The 20059-nt window shown below is 45.5% G+C and overlaps 1 protein-coding gene across 6 annotated transcripts in view, besides 1 other annotated feature; it reads left to right on the top strand.

Moving 5' to 3' along the window:
- SCN10A (sodium voltage-gated channel alpha subunit 10) overlaps positions 1 to 20059 on the top strand; it is a 119411-nt gene that overhangs the window by 75688 nt on the left and 23664 nt on the right. For 4 of the 6 annotated variants that reach the window (NM_006514.4, XM_011533994.3, XM_005265371.4 and 1 more), the window contains 6 exon segments: positions 842 to 1015; positions 11629 to 11988; positions 13478 to 13924; positions 15216 to 15356; positions 16977 to 17100; positions 18118 to 18272. In NM_006514.4, the coding sequence (NP_006505.4) occupies positions 842 to 1015; positions 11629 to 11988; positions 13478 to 13924; positions 15216 to 15356; positions 16977 to 17100; positions 18118 to 18272 (1401 nt within the window). 6 annotated transcript variants of the gene reach the window in all.
- Positions 13614 to 18394: an enhancer, noted in NCBI's record as "VISTA enhancer hs2268". NCBI's record gives its function as "enhancer in: dorsal root ganglion[4/5] | trigeminal V (ganglion, cranial)[5/5]" and the evidence as "EXISTENCE:transgenic organism evidence [ECO:0001131][PMID:17130149]".

Here is a 20059-nt window from a genome sequence, read left to right as displayed (position 1 = left end):
CATAGATACTCTTTGAATCAGTCTTGTGGCATGAGAAAGTCACTTAAACTCTCAGCCTGTTTTCTTCTCCATAAGAAGGATGCATTGTCTGTTTCTCAGGCTGGTGAGGGGCTCAGATAAAAAGATATGAAGGAAAAGCACCTGACCCTGGTCGTTGCTTTCCTCCTTCTCTGTCTCCCTTCCCTGCTGGTTGTTGTGTTACCCGAGCCTGGTTCTGACCTCTCTCAGTGTCAGAATTCTGTCCTATTTAAGACAATTAGAGACACACAGAGCCTAAAAGAATCTTAGAGGCAATGAATCATTGTTCTTACTAGTCACTGTTACTTATGAATGAATTACTGTCTGCCAGGCCCTTTGTTAAGAACTGCACATGCATTGGCTCATTTTATGCCCATTATACAGATGAGGAAATTGAGGTACAGGAAGGATGCATTATTTGTCCAAGCTTACATAAGCTAGGAAATGTCTGGGCTGGGATTTTAATCCAGGTCTGTGATGTCCCACAACCCACACGTTTTAACTACTGAACCAGACTGACTCTTCACTGACAAAATGATATTATAATAATGATCTTAAAGACTATCCGCTTATTCCACTCCCACCACCATTCACGTGGAAAAACTGCAGCATGCACAGCCCCTGAGAATGGTGCAGAAATGTCTCCATTCTGTCACGTTGACTGTTACCCTGGCCAATCCTCAGGAGCCCACAGATAACATAGCAACTGAACAAAACAAAAGGATTTTCTATTTTGTAAATAAGACATTTTCTTGCTGCCATTTTTATCATTGCCTCCGACCCCACAGATCCCACTGTGATGAAAGCTTGTTTCCACTCCTAGGTCTTTACCATATTTTTTACTGCTGAAATGGTCTTCAAAATCATTGCCTTCGACCCATACTATTATTTCCAGAAGAAGTGGAATATCTTTGACTGCATCATCGTCACTGTGAGTCTGCTAGAGCTGGGCGTGGCCAAGAAGGGAAGCCTGTCTGTGCTGCGGAGCTTCCGCTTGGTAATGTTTTTCTCTTGATGGCTTGGGGAAACTCCCACCCAGATTCAGGGAAGACACTGTGCTCTGGGGACTGCACCAGCCAGCTCCCCCTTCCTCTCCTGTCCTTGTGGGAGGGAGCAGGGTCTGACTCCTGGGCGACTGGAGACTTGGGTCTGTGGCCCCAGCTTTTCGCTGACTCAGAGTGGGGACATGCCTTCTCCTTTCTGGGCCTTGGCTCCCTTATCTGCACCAAGAGGGGACTTCCAAGCACTGTCCTCGTCTCTTATCAAATAACAATAACAGCAATAATCACAGCAGCTAATACTTACTGAGCACTTACAATGTGTCAGGCATAGCACTGGACACTTGAAAAAACGCACCTCATTTTATGCTCACAACAACCCTGAGAGATAGTCGTTTTTAAGATCCTCAGGGGTGGGTGAGGAAAAAGAATGGTTCCATGATGACCCGAAAGTCTCCCATCTGCCAAGCAAGCGAATAAGCCACAGACCTGGATCTCAAATCCAGGTTGTCTGACTCCAGAGCCCCAGCTCCTTCCAGCCTCAAGGAAGTCATTCTCTGATTCCCTTGTGCCCGAAATCACAGCCCCAATGTCTCAAGCACCTTCAACCTGCCTATTAGTCTCACTCACATGCAATGATGGCTCTTCTCTAAACTCAGCTCCAGGACGCCCTCTACAGGAGAAGTGCCACAGGCCACCCACTTTTATCAGAGCCACAGGTTTGTCAGCCAAACCTGTCAGATTCCCAGGAGTGTCGGGTCACTAGGTCTCCAGGCCATCTGGAGGAAGCTTGGCATCTCACTGACTCTTGGGAATAGGAAAGAGGCCTGAAGAAATGTCACGGCTTGTTAGCGCAGGCCGCCTGCTCTCAGGAATCTCTCAGTATTAACTGGGAGCCCTGCATCTAGACTTGAAGAGAGGTGACAAAACAAAGGGGAGTATCCAACAATCTTCCCAAGGTCCTGACAAGTGTTGGCATCCAGAGGTTGAAGGGGGTGCATGGTTCAGGAGGCAACGAGACTCTAGGACAGATCTGCTTGGGACCCTATCACAGGGGCCAGTGAGACAGTGCTGAGCCCCTGAACTTGGCGTACCTGGATTAGGGGTGGCAAACTCAAATGCCCATGTGCAGTGACATAGAGCCAGCCATGGAAGAGATGTGGGCACTGGATATTTGCCTCAGGTAGACAGGCAAAGATGACTCCATTTCACCTAGGCAGACCCAAAGCAGTGCACAACTCCTGGGAGGGATGTTTACATAGAAATCAATGTGACCATCTCAGGCCAGGTGCAGTGGCTCACACCTGTAATCCTAGTACTTTGGGAGGCCGAGGCAGGCAGATCGCTTGAGCCCAGGAGTTCAAGGGCAACATGGTGAAACCCCGTCTCTACAAAAAATGAAAAAATTAGCCAGGCATGGTGGTGCACATCTGTTATCCTAGCTACTCAGAAGACTGAGGTGGGAGGATCACCTGAGACCAGGGAGGTGGAGGCTGCAGTGCACCATGATCGTGCCACTGCACTCCAGCCTGGGAGACAGAGTAAGAACCTGTCTCAAAAAAGAAAGGAGACACAGAGAGAGAGGAATAAAGATAGAAAAAGCGAGAGAAAGACAGATGAAAGAAAGAGAGAGAGCAAGAGGGAGAGAGAAAGAAAAAGAGAAAGAAAGAAAGAAGAAAGAGAAAGAAAGAAAGAAAGAAAGAAAGAAAGAAAGAGGAAGGGAGGGAGGGAGGGAGAGAGAGAGGGAGGGAGGGAGGGAGAGAGAGAGGGAGGGAGGGAGGGAAGGACGAGCTATGGCCTGTCCATTATTGTCAGAGTTACTAATTTTCCAAAAAAGTCAGAAATCCAGATTTTTGTGCAAATGTCTTTAATATTGGCTACTAATCCAGTTTTTAAAAACACTCTAAAGACCAAATAAAGCATGTCCTGAGACACAGCTGTGCCATGAAACGCTGGTTGATGGCATCTGCCTAAGCTGATGGTACTGTCACCATCCCAGGGAGGAGAAGGGTAGAGTAGGCCTGGTAGGACTCTTTATCCATAACTTGAAAATCTTACAAGGTCAGAATTAAATCACATTTTTAGAAGGACAGATTTCTCTAGGTATCTAGAAATTGATGTCAAGATGTAGGCCCCTAAGCTAATGGTCAATATAAGGTACCTATGCACAATCGTCAAGAGAGCAGGAGATATCACACCCCCATACCCTGGCAGGCCCACAGTTAGTTTTCTAATAAAATACGAGGCTGGGCGCGGTGGCTCACGCCTGTAATCCCAGCACTTTGGGAGGCCGAGGCAGGCGGATCACAAGGTCAGGAGATCGAGACCATCTTGGCTAACACGGTGAAACCCCGTCTCTACTAAAAATACAAAAAATTAGCCGGGCACGGTGGCGGGCGCCTGTAGTCCCAGCTACTCGGGAGGCTGAGGCAGGAGAATGGCGTGAACCTGGGAGGCGGAGCTTACAGTGAGCCGAGATTGCGCCACTGCAATCCGGCCTGGGCTAAACAGCGGGACTCCGTCTCAAAAAAAAAAAAAAAAAAAAAAAAACGAACATTTCTGCTACACTTGGGGAAGCAGAAGCTTAGTGTTTTAAGGTCTATGTGCTACTTTTGTTCTGATCCCACAGTCTAAAGTCCCAAACAACCAAAAATAGGCAAGTTTACTTCACAGTCTGCCCCTACAGGATTCTGCAGGGGAATGCTACCCTGTCCCCACCTCGCTGATTTAACATGCTGATCAGTGCTCAATTCCCTAACCACACCCACCAACTACACACTTTCTTGGGATCTATTCCACTTCCCTCATGACCTAGCTTAGATTTCACAGCCCACCAATATTATTATGCCCTTGAAAACAAACTCAATCACCTTTTCCCTCTGCCTCTTTGCGTTTTTGTGTTTGCCAAAACCTCACCGGAGAGTCTAAGTCAAATATTTCTCTCCACCTTGTCTGCACCTGAGCTGTGAGAAATGCTGGAGAAAAATCACCGCCAGCTGGTCAGTTTCCTGGTTTTAATTAATAGACTTTATTTTCAGGACAGTTTTCAGTTTTCAGAAAACTGGAGCAGATTGAACAGAAAGCTTTCATATACCATCAATCCCACAACACACACACACACACACACACACACACACACACACACACACACAGAGTTTCCCTATTACCAACATCTTATGTTAGTACCTACATTTGTTACAAATAACTTCACTGGTTTCCCATTGCTCTGAGAATAAAATCCAGACTCCTCATGATGGTGTACAAAGTTCTGCATAATCAGGACCTGCCAGTTCACCAGTCTCCGTCTTGCCCACTTTGCTCCAGCCAAAAAGGCCTACTCTCTCTTCTTCACACATAACAGAGAACTTCTTGGCTTTGGGCCTTTGAAGTTTTTTTCGCTGTGCCTGGAATACTTTTCCTTTAGTCTTCACTTAGCTCACTTATTCTCAAACTCTGTGTTCAATGCACTTGTCACCTCCTTAGAGGGGACCTCCCCAACCACACTATCTAAAGTTGGATTCCTTCATCAAATTAACCTGGCATTTACAATTGTCCTGCTATCCCATGAGGCAAAAACCAGAGTTTCTTGTCTACCGTTTTATCCCAAGGGCCTAGCACAAGGCCCAGCACATACATAGGAACTCAATAAACACCTGTTGATTGATTGAAGGAAGGAAAGAAAGAGAGGAAGGTGGAGGGAAAAAGGAAGAAATAAAAAGTCTGTCTTCCTTCTCTCCCAAAATAGCATTGCTTCTCCTCCCGTCACTTAAAGCCTTGCTCCATTTGCTCTGTTAGTCCATTGGTCTATCCTGGCACCAATATCAGTCTTAATTATGGCAGCTTTAAATATATCTGTGTCTGTAAATCAAGTAATCCACCTAATTTACTTCAAGAATATCTTGGCCTGCACACTTTCATATTCACTTTAGAATTATCTTGCCAAGTTACATACCCACATACACACAAAACTGCTATTGTTTTTCCCATTAGGGACTGCTGTAATTGATAGGTCAATTTGGGAAGACTTATAATCTTTACATAATTCAGTCTTCTGATCTATGAAGATAGTATACGCTGTATACCAGTCTTTCAATAAAGTTTAAAAATGTTTCCATGAGGTTTTTATAATTTTCTCCATAGGATCTTGCATATCTTCTTAAATGTTCTTTTCTGGCATTTTTGGCTAGCATTTTGATATTTAACATTTTTGTATCTAGAAATGTCTCTTATTAATTCTAATAATTTATCTATACAATGTTTTAAATTTTCTAACATAATCACATCATGTGAAAATAACAATGAGTTTAATTTCTTCTTTTCTTTCTTTTTTTTTTTTTTTTTTTTGAGACAGAGTCTCGCTCTGTCACCCAGGCTAGAGTGCAGTGGCGTGATCTCGGCTCATTGCCAGCTCCACCTCCCGGGTTCACGCCATTCTCCTGCCTCAGCCTCCTGAGTAGCTGGGACTACAGGCACCCACCACCATGCCTGGCTAATTCTTTGTATTTTTAGTAGAGACGGGGTTTCACCGTGTTAGCCAGGATGGTCTCGATCTCCTGACCTCATGATCTGCCTGCCTTGGCCTCCTAAAGTGCTGGGATTACAGGCATGAGCCACCCACGCCCAGCCTAATTTCTTCTTTTCTAATCCTTATGCCATTAGGTTCTTTTTACTAGATCACTGTGCTAGTTAGGACATCCAGTACACTGTTGAAAAGAAGTGTTAATAACAGGTATCTTTATCAATTTTCTGATCCCAAAAAGAATCCTTTCAATATTTCACCACCTCTAACAATTGTGGCAGGCTTTTTTTAAAGATAAGAAATCTTTATCAGTTCAGGAAGTTCTCTTTTATCAAGAATATTTATCATGAATGGATGTTTAATTTTATCAGACAATTATTCTACATGTATTGAGATAATCATGTATTTTCTCCTTCAATCTGTTAAAGTGGTGAATTATATTAATTGATTTTCTAATGTTAAATCAACTTTACATTCCCAGCTCAAACCTAGCTTGATCGTGATGCATTTTTTAATACATTGGAAGATTTAGTTTGCTAAAAATTTGCTTAAGATTTTTTTATCCATATCAATGAGTAATATTTGATCTATAATTTTCCTGACTTTCATTGTCCTTGCCAGGTTTTGGTATCAAGGTTCCAAGATTATGCCATTTTTTTTTTAAAGCCAAGGGGGCCAGGTGGGGTGGCTCACGCCTGTAATCCCAGAATTTTGGGAGGCCAAGGTGGGAGGATTGCTTGAGGACAGGAGTTGGAGACCAGCCTGGCCAACAGGAGAAAACCCCATCTCTACTAAAAATATATAAATTAGCTGGGTGTGGTGGCACACACCTGTAATCCCAGCTACTCAGGAGGGTGAGGCATGAGAATTGCTTGAATCCCAGAGACAGAGGTTGCAGTGAGCTGAGATCATGCCACTGCACTCCAGCCTGGGCAACAGAGCGAGACTCCGTCTCATTGAAAACAATAAAAAGAAGGCCAGGGGCAGTGGTTAATGCCTGTAATCCCAGCACTGTTGGAGGCGCAGGCAGGCGGATCACCTGAGGTCGGGAGTTCGAGACCAGCCTGACCAACATGGAGAAGACCCATCTCTACCAAAAATACAAAATTAGCCAGGTGTGATGGTGCATACTTTTAATCCCAGCTACTTGGGAGGCTGAGGGAGGAGAATTGCTTGAACCCGGGAGGCGGAGGTTGCGGTGAGCTGAGATTGCACCATTGCACTCCAGCCTGGGCAACAAGGGCAAAACTCCATCTCAAAAATAAATAAATAAATAAATAAATTTTAAATTTAAAAAAGAAAAGGAAAGAAATTAGCTGGGCATGATGGCACGTGTCTGTAGTCTCAGCTATTTGGGAGGCTGAGGTGGGAGGATGACTTGAGCCCAGGAGGTCGTGGCTGCAGAAATTACAGCATAAATTAACTCTCCATTAGTTAACTTAATCAAAGCCAAAAGTTAGCTAAAATCTTTAACCTTCCTCCAAGACAACTTTTCATTCCAGATATCCTTTCCCAATTTATTGTAATGATAAGTATTTTAATTTTATCTTGTTTATAAAAATTTTTATTAATCAATGAAAAATAAAGCTACCTATTATACAGACAATCTCTAAAACTGAGTAACTGACCCCAATAAAGGTTTATTTCTCACTCGTATCATAGCCTAATGCAAGCCAGACAGCTCTAGGTGGGACTCCAAGAAGTGACTTTGCCATGCCTGAAGGAGGCCAATATAACTTCAAAGTTTGCCTCCTGCTTGTGGGAAAATGGAAAGCCAAGGTTTGTTTTAAGGTTTAAACAGTGAAAGGCTTTTTCAGTCAGGGATTTTGATTTATTTCACAATACAATTACTTCAAAAACTTAGATGGCTTCAGACCTCTCATTGCCACACAAAGTGCTTTCTTTGACAAAGTTCTCAATTGTTCTTTATTTCTTTGCTTTCCTTTCCCCATGCCTTTCTCTTGCACAAGAAACAGTGGCTACACCATTACTACAAGCTTTGCTAAGAGTTGTTTCATTTAATTGGAAAATTTAACTAGTCTTCAACATTTGAAGACTTAATCCCATTGCTCACTGCCTGGAATCTAGAAGCAGTACAGTTCCCTAAATCGTCAAGGCTCTAAACTTCTGGATTATATTTTCTTTTATTCTTATAAACCAGCTAAATCTTTCCTGAGCTAATCTCTTTCTTGTACTGTCTTGACCAACATAGCCAATTACAACTGACCCACAATACTAAGGTTTAATAAACCCTTCCCCTAGGGTTGCTGGTTCATGAGGCTCGTGCTCTGCCTCAAAATTTTTGCCAGCAATATTTTTGTCACTGAATAACATAGATTGACATTCCAAGCCTTCTCCTATCAGCTTCCTTGTTGCCCACCACATGATCATTAAGCCAGTGCCACATAGTTGATGCTTTTGAAAAGGCAATACCTTTTTTCAATGAAGCAATTTCTCCATTACTCAAGATAAGTACAACTAGCTGCAGTGATACCCTCTAAATCTGTGAGTTAACATAATAGAGATGTATGTCTCACAGCACATTCAGTGCTTGTTGGGAAGCTCTCCTGGGAGTGTCTACTTCAAGTAGCGCCTCAAGGATCTAGGATTATCCCATATCGTGATGTCACCATCTTCAGTTAGTGACCTTTATGGTGAACATGAAAGGGAAAGAAAAAGTTCAGGGGGTTTAAGGCTATGCCTAAAAGTCATGTATATTACTTCTGTCTCCATCTCCATTCCACCAGACAGAACCCACTAACATGACCCCAACTATTTGCAAGCAAAACTGGAAAACAGTCTTCCGTTGTGTCTGGGAGGAGAAAAGTGAATGGAGACTATATGACCAGTCTCTTCCACATCTCACAAGACATTGTTGTTGTGTCCACTCAATGTTTATTTAGATTCACTCTCATGCTTAGCACTTTCTTGCTCTTTATACCTTTGTTATAGAGCCAGTGGGGGCTCACTGCCCAATGCTCTAGAAGCCAATACTATGACTTTGGAAGCCAAGACGAGGACACCAGGCTTTTGAGAAAAGAAAAGCTTAATACTGCAAGCTGGCTGGCAAGAAGACAGGAGGTCAAGCTCAGATCTGTCTCCCTGTGCTGTCTTCAAGGCAGTATTTTTATTAGAAAATGTTTAGTGGGTGGATACCGGGATTTGCAGGTGATTGGTGGAAGGAAAGGGGAGGTTTGGAGAGTCCATGGGCCTGCACAGTTATCTCTTCATGCTTACTCATGGGTTGCATATGCAAATCTGGGGGGAGTTAGTATGCAATATGAAGTGGAAATTCAGTCCATGACGTCAGCAAGCTCATTCTGCACAAACTCCAGTCGGCCATCCTGGTTCCAATTGATTTCAGCCTGTTTTTTCATCATCACACAAGGGGAGGGAGTTTCAGTGTCTCAGCAAGTTGTTTCTTTACCTATCTGCTATCCTAAAAACTCAAGAATTTTTGTAAGTTACTGATTTCTTACTCTTTGGAACACAGTTTGAGTTTCAGATTTTCAGTGAGTTATTTCTTATCTGGTATCCTGTAAGCCTAAAAATTTAGTTATTGATTTCTTCAACCCTTTGGAGCACAGTTTCACATTCTTGTATATTACACATTACATATTACTTCTGGGATCACTTTCTATCTACCTGAAGTACCTCCTTTAGAATTTCTTTTAGTAAGTGCCTTCTGGCCATAACCTCTTTGTTTATCTGAAATTTGCTCTTCAGTTTGCCCGTGTCTTTGAGAGACATTTCTTATGAATGTAAAATTCTAGTTGATACTTTATCTTCCTTCAGTGAAGATAGTATTCCAACAATTAGCCTCCATTGTTGCTAATGAGCAGTCAGCTTTCAATTTAACTGTTATTCCTTCCTTTCTGGATGCTTTTTAAATCTTCTATCCATCTTTGGTGTTCTGCAGTTTCACTGTAATATGTCTAGGTGTGGACTTCTTTCCATTTATAATGCTTAAGATATACTGACTTCTTGAATCTTTAGTTTTGTAATTTTCTTCAATTCTGGAAAGTTCCCAGACATGATGTGGGCAGTCATAGCCTCCACGCCATTCTATTTTTTCTCCTTCTGGACTTTGGTTAGATAGATGTTAAACTCTCTCATTCTATCCTCTATGTCTCTTACACTATTTTGTTATTTTTCATCTTATGTCTCTCTAGGTTACATTCTGAATAATTTATTCTGATATATCCTCAGTTCACTAATTCTCTCCCAAACTGTGTCAAATCTGATGCAAACCTTCTTCATAATATTTTTAATTTTAAGTATTATATTTTTCATTTCTAAGAGTGTATTTTTCACAACTTGTTATTGTTATCTATAGTTTTTTTATTCTCTGCACATAGTTTCAAGTTATTATTTTATTTCTTTAACATATTATATCTAATTATACTGTTATCTCTGACTAATAATTCTATCATCTGAAGAAATGGAATGACTATTTCCACATCTGTGGTTTCTTCAAGATCTCATTCACTCTTGATGACTCATTCCTTCTGTTTTTGTTTGTTTTTTTACTGCAACTCTTAAACAATTTTTGAGGGAATAGTTTGAAACCTGAGATAAAGGCAGGTTCCTCCAGAGGTATTTGCATTTAATTCTGCAGAGCACTTTGTAGAATTGCTCTAAATTAAATTCTCAACTTAAAATACCTAGGTAGTGTGAATTCCAGATAAAATCCTATATGAGCACCACTTTGTTGTTTCAAATGCTCAGCGTCAATTTTCCTCCTGTAGCTGGTACCTAACACCAGCCATTCAATTTTCCTTGCATTCTCCTGGGATTGTTTGTGGTTCATCCTTACATGAAGGGTATAGCTCTTTGGGATCTAGTCTTAAAGCAGGGAGAAATTCCTGCTAGGCTTACAACCTTCGGCAGGCCATGGACTACGTTTCCTGCTCCCCATACTAGTTACTAATGCTCAGTTTTTATTTGTGTTTATCAGCTGCCTCTGTGACCAGTCCACAGAGTTGTTGTTTTAAGCTCTGCTTCCCATATGAGGAGAGTAACTTCCAGATTGGGTGTAAGGTGAACGTGGACCCGCTCTCCCCCATCACATAAAGAGGTGCATACAGCACTTACTGTATAACAGGATTAAACCTCCTCCCGTGGGATTTACTCACGGATATGGGTGATAAAATTGTAGCTACACTGTTGTGTTCAGCATTGCATCCTAGCACCTAAGCCACAGCCTGGCTCTTAGTAGGTGCTCCATAAACACACCTTGACTGACAGACTGACAGTTGAGCTCAGATTTTTTTTCCTGACAAATTAGAGAACCATACAAATATATTTTAAAACACATACATTTTTATGCTTGATGATTTTGCTGTCTTGTGGGACTTAGCATATTTGAGTTTACAGTGAAGACTTTTGAGACTTCATCTTTTCTCAGTAACTAAACCATTGGTTCCATGAGAGCAAGAGCCCACACACCTCTCTTCATACACCTCATAGGCTAGCACACTGCCATGCACCTGCACGGCTGGAGTTCTGGGGGGTAGGTTCGTTGGTCAATTAAATCAACTTATGAATGCTGAGTCCATGAAATCATGGACATTTGCAGTTTCAAAGCTGGTGGGAGCAACAGATGTTGTCCACTGCCCCAAGATGAGAAATGCCCTAAGAGATGTTTTGCCAATACCTATCGAATGCAGTGGGTCATCCCCTACCCGAAGGAGGCTGGTCTCTCTTCAGTCATAAATAAGCTTGTTCTCACTTATTTGTGAGCCCCATCACACCCACCCCACCTCCACAGAAGAGGCCCATATTCAGGAGGGATCAGGCCTGTGGCTATAGAACAGAGTACAGATCGCAAGGCCACCACCCCAGTAGAAGACCCTGACTCAGCCACAGTCAATGAAGCACATTGATACTTATGAACCATAGAAGGCAGATCATATTTTTGAGTAATTTATAGCATAGGAAGAAAGGTCTCCAAAAGCAGTGTCCAGAAAACGCCCTGGTTTAATGGGATGAGAGGCCTTGTGTTTTTCCCAGATCTTTGGTTTCCAGGCAAAACTTTAGATGAAAGGTAATGAGCACAGCTACCAAAACCTGACGGTCTCTGTTTCTCTGCAGCTGCGCGTATTCAAGCTGGCCAAATCCTGGCCCACCTTAAACACACTCATCAAGATCATCGGAAACTCAGTGGGGGCACTGGGGAACCTCACCATCATCCTGGCCATCATTGTCTTTGTCTTTGCTCTGGTTGGCAAGCAGCTCCTAGGGGAAAACTACCGTAACAACCGAAAAAATATCTCCGCGCCCCATGAAGACTGGCCCCGCTGGCACATGCACGACTTCTTCCACTCTTTCCTCATTGTCTTCCGTATCCTCTGTGGAGAGTGGATTGAGAACATGTGGGCCTGCATGGAAGTTGGCCAAAAATCCATATGCCTCATCCTTTTCTTGACGGTGATGGTGCTAGGGAACCTGGTGGTGAGTGGTGAACCCTGCTGGGGGCACTGTCTCCTGGGGAAAGGAGAAGGCTTCTGGGTTATCTGAAAAAGCTTTGATCTGCATTTTTATGCCCAGATTGTACTTCTCTGGTTGAAAAGTCTTCAAACTTTTCAAATTCATGTGGGATTCATTACAAGAAGTGTGCCTTGGGAGGCAGTCTGACTTGCAGGAATGAGAACATATGATTAGAAAAGAAAGACCTGGTGTAGAATCTCTGCTCCACCATTTACTAGGTGGGTGACCCCAGGCAAGAGACTTAATCTCCTCAAGATCTAATTTCCTTAAAATCAAGAAAATAATGCTTACTCATGGGTTTACTGGGAGAATTAAATGACAGGAGATGACATATGCAAATTGCCTAATGCAATGTCTGGGCTGAGGCAGGAACTCAATAAACGGTGTCTATTAGCTGTTAAAGGAAAAATGTCCTTCCCCAATCTGAGGGGGCTCAGAAAACATTTTTATTCAGGGAAGTAAGAGCTGACTGATTTCTCCAAGCTGCACAGGTCCTAGCTGGGAGCAGGGGGAGAGGCTGCAGGGAGGGGGCACAATGGGTCACGGACAACATCCAAGGCCACAGAAATAATAACAAAATCTACTCCATGTTTGGAGGAAGCCCCTCTGGAGACTCACTTGCCAATAAGCCCCAATACCCCTTCTCCGCCCCAGCCTGGCCCCCTGCCCTCAGCTTGTCTCCACCCACTCTGGTCATGGTGGGGTCCTTGCCCTCCTGGGACTGACTGGTTGTGTGGGAGGATGCAGTCTTCCAGAAGCCCCTTTCTTATTGCCCTGGACATCAACCAACTTGGGTTCTTTCCTCATGAGTTTTATAGACAGAAGAAAGCTAAACCAAGAAAAGGGAAGCAACAACAAATCCAGACTCTTTAGTCTTTTCCACCCTGGTGCCTGAGCCAGGGATGCCTCTGCCTGCATCCCAGAAACTCTGTTCTTCCAGGCTGAGCCCACCATCCCTGCAGAGCCACAGATGCCCCTCACCCTCAGACAGGAAGTTTACCCCTCTGAGCACTTTTACATTTCTCATATCATTTTGTCTTCACAACCGCTCTTCATCTGCTCTCAAGTGAAGAACTGGAAGCAGCAAGATGTGCCCAGGATTCCAGAGTCAGGAACAGAGCCCAGGGCTTTGGCACATGAGGGTGGTTGCAGGAAGGGCTGGTGCCTTCTCTCTGTTGTCCCTAAATGTCCCTCTGCTCAGCGGGGGGCTCCTCCTTTATGGTGGAAAATATGCTTCCAAGCCTCGTCCACTGAGGCGGGTCACTCCAGGACATCCCCAAACTTTCCCTCAACTGCTCTCAGAAAGTCCATTCCCCCAAAAGGGACAGCATCCCGGGTGGGCAGGAAGAGGCCCAGGCCGTGGCTGTCTTGCCAGCCAGCTGCTAACCCGGTAGGCCAATGTGGGGCTCAGCTTAGAGATTGATCAATCTTCCCTTCCATTCCTTCTCTTCAGGTGCTTAACCTGTTCATCGCCCTGCTATTGAACTCTTTCAGTGCTGACAACCTCACAGCCCCGGAGGACGATGGGGAGGTGAACAACCTGCAGGTGGCCCTGGCACGGATCCAGGTCTTTGGCCATCGTACCAAACAGGCTCTTTGCAGCTTCTTCAGCAGGTCCTGCCCATTCCCCCAGCCCAAGGCAGAGCCTGAGCTGGTGGTGAAACTCCCACTCTCCAGCTCCAAGGCTGAGAACCACATTGCTGCCAACACTGCCAGGGGGAGCTCTGGAGGGCTCCAAGCTCCCAGAGGCCCCAGGGATGAGCACAGTGACTTCATCGCTAATCCGACTGTGTGGGTCTCTGTGCCCATTGCTGAGGGTGAATCTGATCTTGATGACTTGGAGGATGATGGTGGGGAAGATGCTCAGAGCTTCCAGCAGGAAGTGATCCCCAAAGGACAGGTAAGAGTTATCCCCAAGGGACAGCCACAGGCAGTGGGGAGGGGCTTCAGGGCTTGAGTGACAAAGGGCAAAAGGGAAATGCAGAGGAGACCTTGACATAAAGAAGTTTAAACCATGCCAAGCTTTCCAGAGGAGTTGGCGTTTGAGCAGGGCCTGGAAGAAAAAGTCAGAATTCCCCAGGCAGACAAACAGGGAGTGGGGGGCAGCAGGTGAGCAAAAGGCCACCTTGAGGTGCTTGGGGATTGTCTTTCACACAGCTGTCCCATGCGCTCTGCCCAACCCAGGCTCTGTGCATGAGATGCTAATGAGATTTCTCTAAGAACAGGATGTTGTCCAAGAGCAAGGCTCATCTAATCTTTACCAGCATCCTAAGAAGTCCTGATTCTTATGTGACTCATTTAGCCAGCTTTTCCCCACAAGTGGTATCACAGGGAAATGACACGCTCCTTTTGGCACCAACTAATTTAAAGCACATTTGAGCCATTTGATAATATATATTTTTAAATACTTGGCACTATTCCTTACTACCTTAAGCTGGTATATCAACCCTCGCTAACCTCTTCTCAGTAACTCAGGGCATTCACCTCTGCCCAACGTGGGAAGGCAGGGAACCCTGTGAGGCCTCAGGAACATGCAGGGCTGCTGGCCAGGTTACTAAGTGGTCCAGAAAAGCTGTGCTTTGAGTCTGTAGCTCTCCCATAGCCTTCTTCCCTGCAGTCGTCACTTGTGTTCCAGCAGCTGCTGTTATCAGCTGCCATATTTTACATGCCTTTGTCTAGGTAACAGCAGAGAGCATGAACTCTGTGACAGCTGTCTGCCACTCAGAAGCATTTTCAGTTACTTTGGGGCTCTTAGGGAGCTCCAGGTGGCCAAGTTCCCTACAATTTTGACCTCTGGACAAATAACAATGGTCATGGCTAAAATCTATTGAGCCAAGCACTTCGTGCAAAGTGTTTTACAAGCGCTAACATATTTAGTCATCAAAACAGCTGAATGATGCAGATCTAGCCTTTTCAATTTTGAAGCTGGGAAAAATGAAGATTAGAGAGGTTAAACAACTTGCCTAAGGTCACACATCTTATAATTAATGGAGCCCAAGGATAAAACATAGGTCTATCTAGCTATAGTCTTCATGCTCACTTCACACACGTGTATGTATATATGTATGTACATGAGTTGCATATATGAAACTCTTGGCTCTGGCAGCCTGTGATGTGCAAGATCCCTTCAAATTTAGAACTGGTCATCTAAGGGTGGGGCCAGGCACCCAGTTGGGACCCTCTCTCACTAGCAGGAGCAGCTGCAGCAAGTCGAGAGGTGTGGGGACCACCTGACACCCAGGAGCCCAGGCACTGGAACATCTTCTGAGGACCTGGCTCCATCCCTGGGTGAGACGTGGAAAGATGAGTCTGTTCCTCAGGTCCCTGCTGAGGTAGGTATGTCAGCTTCCTGGAGAGGTTGGACAGCCAGCCAGACACTGAGCAGTGGGCTGGTAGAGGCTGGAGGGTGGCGGTGAAGGTGGGGTATTCCAGACTGCACTCAATCACATAACCTCATTTCTTATCCTGGGAATTTTTAAAGTCCCTCCCAACCTCCGGCTAATCCGCACAATTTCAACTTTCACCATATACCATTGCCACAATCTCACTCCAGGGTGGTTCTAGGTATAGAAAGAAAGAGTGAGACTCCACAAGCTGTGGGACCTAAGATCAGTTCCCAAACCTCTCTGAGCCGCCATTTATTCATCTATGAAACTGAATGGTAATGCCTACTTGGTAGGATTATTTTGAAGCTTAAATGAGATGCTGCTTGTCAAATGTTTAGGTCCTGCCTGAGACAAAGTAAGTGCCCAGGAAATGACAGCCAAGAAAAAAGGAAACGAAAGACAACGCACAAAGAAAGTCAAATATCTTTCAGAGCCAGCAAATAAGAGTTGGAGGTGCTCACAGATGAAGAAGTTTTCCCTTGTGATTCTCCCCCACTTTCTTTTGTCCACATCATTTTCTCTAGGCAAAAGTAGCCTGGGGCTAGGGAGAGGCTCTCTATAGGTGAGTAGTGAAGTGACAGCCTCACAGAGACTGAGCTGGAAGATTAGAGGTTTAGGATTGTCTTATACAAGGTAAAAATAAATGTGGTTTCACTTACAAATCTTGAAGGAAACAAGCTATAGGGAAAGAGGCATCTATAAAAGTTTAGCATCTTTAATAACACTGCCTTCAATTCAAGAATTTAATTTGACACCTAGCCACTGAGTGCTGACTTTGTGACAGGCACTGGGCTCAACAGAGATAAGGAAGTCATAATTCATCCCCAAAGTTATCAAGCCCTTCAGCTTGAAGAATGTCAGCTACTGGCTGTGTGCCCTAGGCAAGGCTGACCACAGCAGGGTAAGATAAGAGGGAGGGCTGGGACGGGATTTGGGGGCTGTGGGTGAACAGAAGCCGCTTGGTTCCCACTGGGTGAGGGCTGTCACATTCTGCACGTGGATGTCATGCTTCTTCCCAAATGTTCCAAGGACTCCCCTGGCTAGTTGTCCCTACTCAATGTTTTCAGTACACAACTTCTGGGTGTTGGTTTTTTGTTTTTGTTTTCTTGTCCATGACCCCGGCTAGGCAGGAGGGGCCTGACAGCGACAAATGGGGACCCGCCCCACCATTTGGGTCCATTAGCAAAGCTATCAGGTTTACTAATATGAGAGCAACTTCAACCCCTAATTGAATTCATCTGGAGACATTATAGGGCTGGAGCTGCCAGGAGGGCAGCAGGCCCCTGCAGCATTACTCCATGATTAAATATTCAAGCCCAGTGAATGCTGAGAGTCGTTATGGGTGTAATTACGGTGTCTCGGGCCATTGCCAGCACTCCATCAGGGGCCCCGAAGGTTTACAGTCTCACACAGCTAAGCCTCTGGGGCTCCAGGGAGAAGAGCAGTGTTCCAGGCCTCAGCTGGCGAGGCACCAAACATGGGTGCAGTTGAACCTGCAGTGACCGTGTGCAATTCCCCGGGCCCCGCGGAGAGACGAGTTCACTGCCCTGGGCTTCTCCCCTGCAGGGAGTGGACGACACAAGCTCCTCTGAGGGCAGCACGGTGGACTGCCTAGATCCTGAGGAAATCCTGAGGAAGATCCCTGAGCTGGCAGATGACCTGGAAGAACCAGATGACTGCTTCACAGAAGGTGAAGGGACAGCCACAGGCCCCCTCACACTGATGTTAATTAGGGCCAGAATCCAGTTGAGCGAACACTCACCTGGGATCCACAGAAGACAAACAAGCTGTGCCCACTTGCTGCCTCACTCCCAGGCTTGAGGGCGCCCGCATCAGACACACATGCCCCAGGTGGCAGCAGCCTGGCCGTGGTATCTGCATCTCATGCCCTATCAGACACTACGGAGAGACGTGGGCCTTCCTCTTTACCCTCAAAAACCCCTCCGTGAGTTCTAAACCAGCCCTCTTGAGTTGAAAGGGGGAAACGTAGTCACCACCATAAACACCACTGAAAACTCTTGATTTGGACCATGAAGGACCCAGAGGAAGGCCATGATGTATCTGCTTCCCTCAATCTTTTGTTTAGCTCTCAAAAGCAGAACCTGTGTCTTAGTCATCTTTCCTCTCAGTGTTTAGAACAGTGAGGCACATTACATTCTCAATAAATATTTGTGCAATGAATGAATCAAGAGTCCATTCTATAAAGGGAATTGTGGCCTCAATGCTTTCTAAAAATACAAAGAAAAATTTTTTAAATACTTGAGTTTTTATTAATAGTTTTATTTGACCCTGGGCTGGGCTGAGCTGGGCTGGACCCAATCCCCATCCCAGCCACGTCGTGGCCCTCAGTTCAGCTTGGGCTTGGAGCATATCCCCCTCAGGCACCCCCAGGCTCATACGCCGTAGCTTGTCTGTTTTCCAGGTATAGGTGGGCAGAAGGACAGGGACCACTGGTGTCATCTGTAAGAAGGATATGGCTAGGAAAAACATCAGAGTGGGCAAGACTGATGATGGAGAGGAACACCTGTTGGTCTGGATTGAGGGACTCCCTGGAAGGGACCCCTCTTCACCCATATTCCAGGAAAGAATTTTTTTCCAAGGGCATGACAAGTGGGTTTCCTAGCAGAATGGTTTCTCTGCAGCAGGAGCAGAAATTATCCCCTTTGCCCACTGGCCATCACCCACCATCAGTCACCTCTCCCCACAGGATGCATTCGCCACTGTCCCTGCTGCAAACTGGATACCACCAAGAGTCCATGGGATGTGGGCTGGCAGGTGCGCAAGACTTGCTACCGTATCGTGGAGCACAGCTGGTTTGAGAGCTTCATCATCTTCATGATCCTGCTCAGCAGTGGATCTCTGGTAAGGGGAGGCATAGTCCCTGCCCCCAAATCCTCCAGATAGGAATCTCCTACAATCCAAAGGCCCTGGAGCTGCATCAGTGGGTTCTCCTGACTACTGAGCTGAAAGTCCCCAACCTTGTCACTAGAAGGAGAGCTGCAGCCCAGGGCGAGGGCCCCTCTTAGCAGCAGAGCATGGGAGGTGTTCAAGGTGCCCGTGCCATGGCCTGCCAAACCTGGCTGCAAGCATTTGAGTGAGTGAGTGTATGCCTCCCACTATATAGATGGGGAAACTGACACTCAAAATGTTTAAAAGGCTTGTCCAAGGTCACCCAACTTGTCAGTAGCAAAACCCAGCTTTGCCCTTATTTAATCCCGAAGCCCCTGGCTTCCCACCCTCTGACCTCCCCAACACACGGCCTTCTCTGAAGGCCTACAATACAAAAAGGACTATCTTTCCTTATCAAACCACTTCCAAATGCTACTAATTACTCCTTTAAAGCTCACAGAAAATCATTACAATAGCACTTCTCAAAATTTAATCTCCCAGGAGCTTGTTCAAATGCAGATTCTCATTCCATAAATCTGTGGCAGGGCCTGAGAATTTGCATTTCTAACAAGCTCCCAGGTGATGCTTGCACTGCCCTCAGTGACCCACACTTTGAATAACAAGGCCTTATGGGAATAGAGATTCAGAGTTGGGAGACATCTCTAAGGCCCTGGCTGAATACTGGGCTTTGTAGAGCAAAGAAGGAAGGTTCTCTCTGTACTGTGGCTTAAGCTCCTTACACAATCTCAACTACTCCGCCAATAGACCAAGGTAGACATAGACACAGGAAGGAACTTAACATCCTCAGTTGTTTGCATTTTCTAAATGAGGAAGTCAAAGCCCAAAGGCATGAGGGGCTTCAGGTAATTAGTTGAAGGGCTGGGAATAGAGAGTTCAGGGTGGCAGCTAATTAGTTGAAGGGCTAGGACTACAGTCCCGCTCTTCCGATTCACGGCTGCAGTGTTTTCACTCATCTTGCGCCTCATGTGTCATTTACTCTCTAAAAACAACCTACTAAATATCTAGGCCTCCATCTAAATGCCAGATTGTCCAGGAAGGGTGACAAAACTGCTCGGTGCATGGCCTCAGCTTTAGGGAGGAGCACAGGTGCGGGACGAGGCAGGATCTGAGAGGTGGGAGGAAAACTAGGGTGGCAATGACGCAAAGCCAAGGGAGAAGAGAGTTTCGGGGCAGGGACTGGTCTGCCATCCTGGGTGGAGGGGGAACTGTGTGACAGCGGCTGCAGGTGCCCAGTGCCCTGGCACAGGGCAGTGATTGTCCACACGGACCTCAGCACAGTGTAGAGGCCAAATTGCAGGGGCAAGAGAGGGCTGGGCAGTGCTTTCTCCACACCTATGCTCTTCTCCTTCCAGTCCTGCTGGATTAAAGTAATAACCACATGTGCTGTTGGCCAGGTGCTCTCCTCACTACGTCATTGGCTTGTGGGCCTTCTCTCCTCATTTTGCTTCTCTGCTCTCCCTTGCTCCCTCCCTTCTCTCTCTAGCCCCCTTCTCTTCACACCCCGGTCCACCCCCCACATTCCCAGGAGGAAGCTCAGACCTGCAGCACTGCGCCAGCCCAGCCCGCCCCCTGCAGCTCTCCCTTCCCTCCCATCTCCTTCCCCTGGGACTGAACAGGCTGGCACCAAATTTAGCCTTCTTTAGGCTTTCACTTTGAGTACCTTTTAAAAATAACATGCATTTTCATCTGACAAAGTAAAGTACCAAAAAAATACTTGGAAATTATAGAAAAAGGTAAAG

The sequence above is a fragment of the Homo sapiens genome, chromosome 3, assembly GCF_000001405.40.
Source record: "Homo sapiens chromosome 3, GRCh38.p14 Primary Assembly".
NCBI classification, from domain to species: Eukaryota; Metazoa; Chordata; class Mammalia; order Primates; family Hominidae; genus Homo; species Homo sapiens.
Note: the sequence above shows the minus strand (reverse complement) of the source record. Positions and strands in the feature narration are given on the sequence as shown.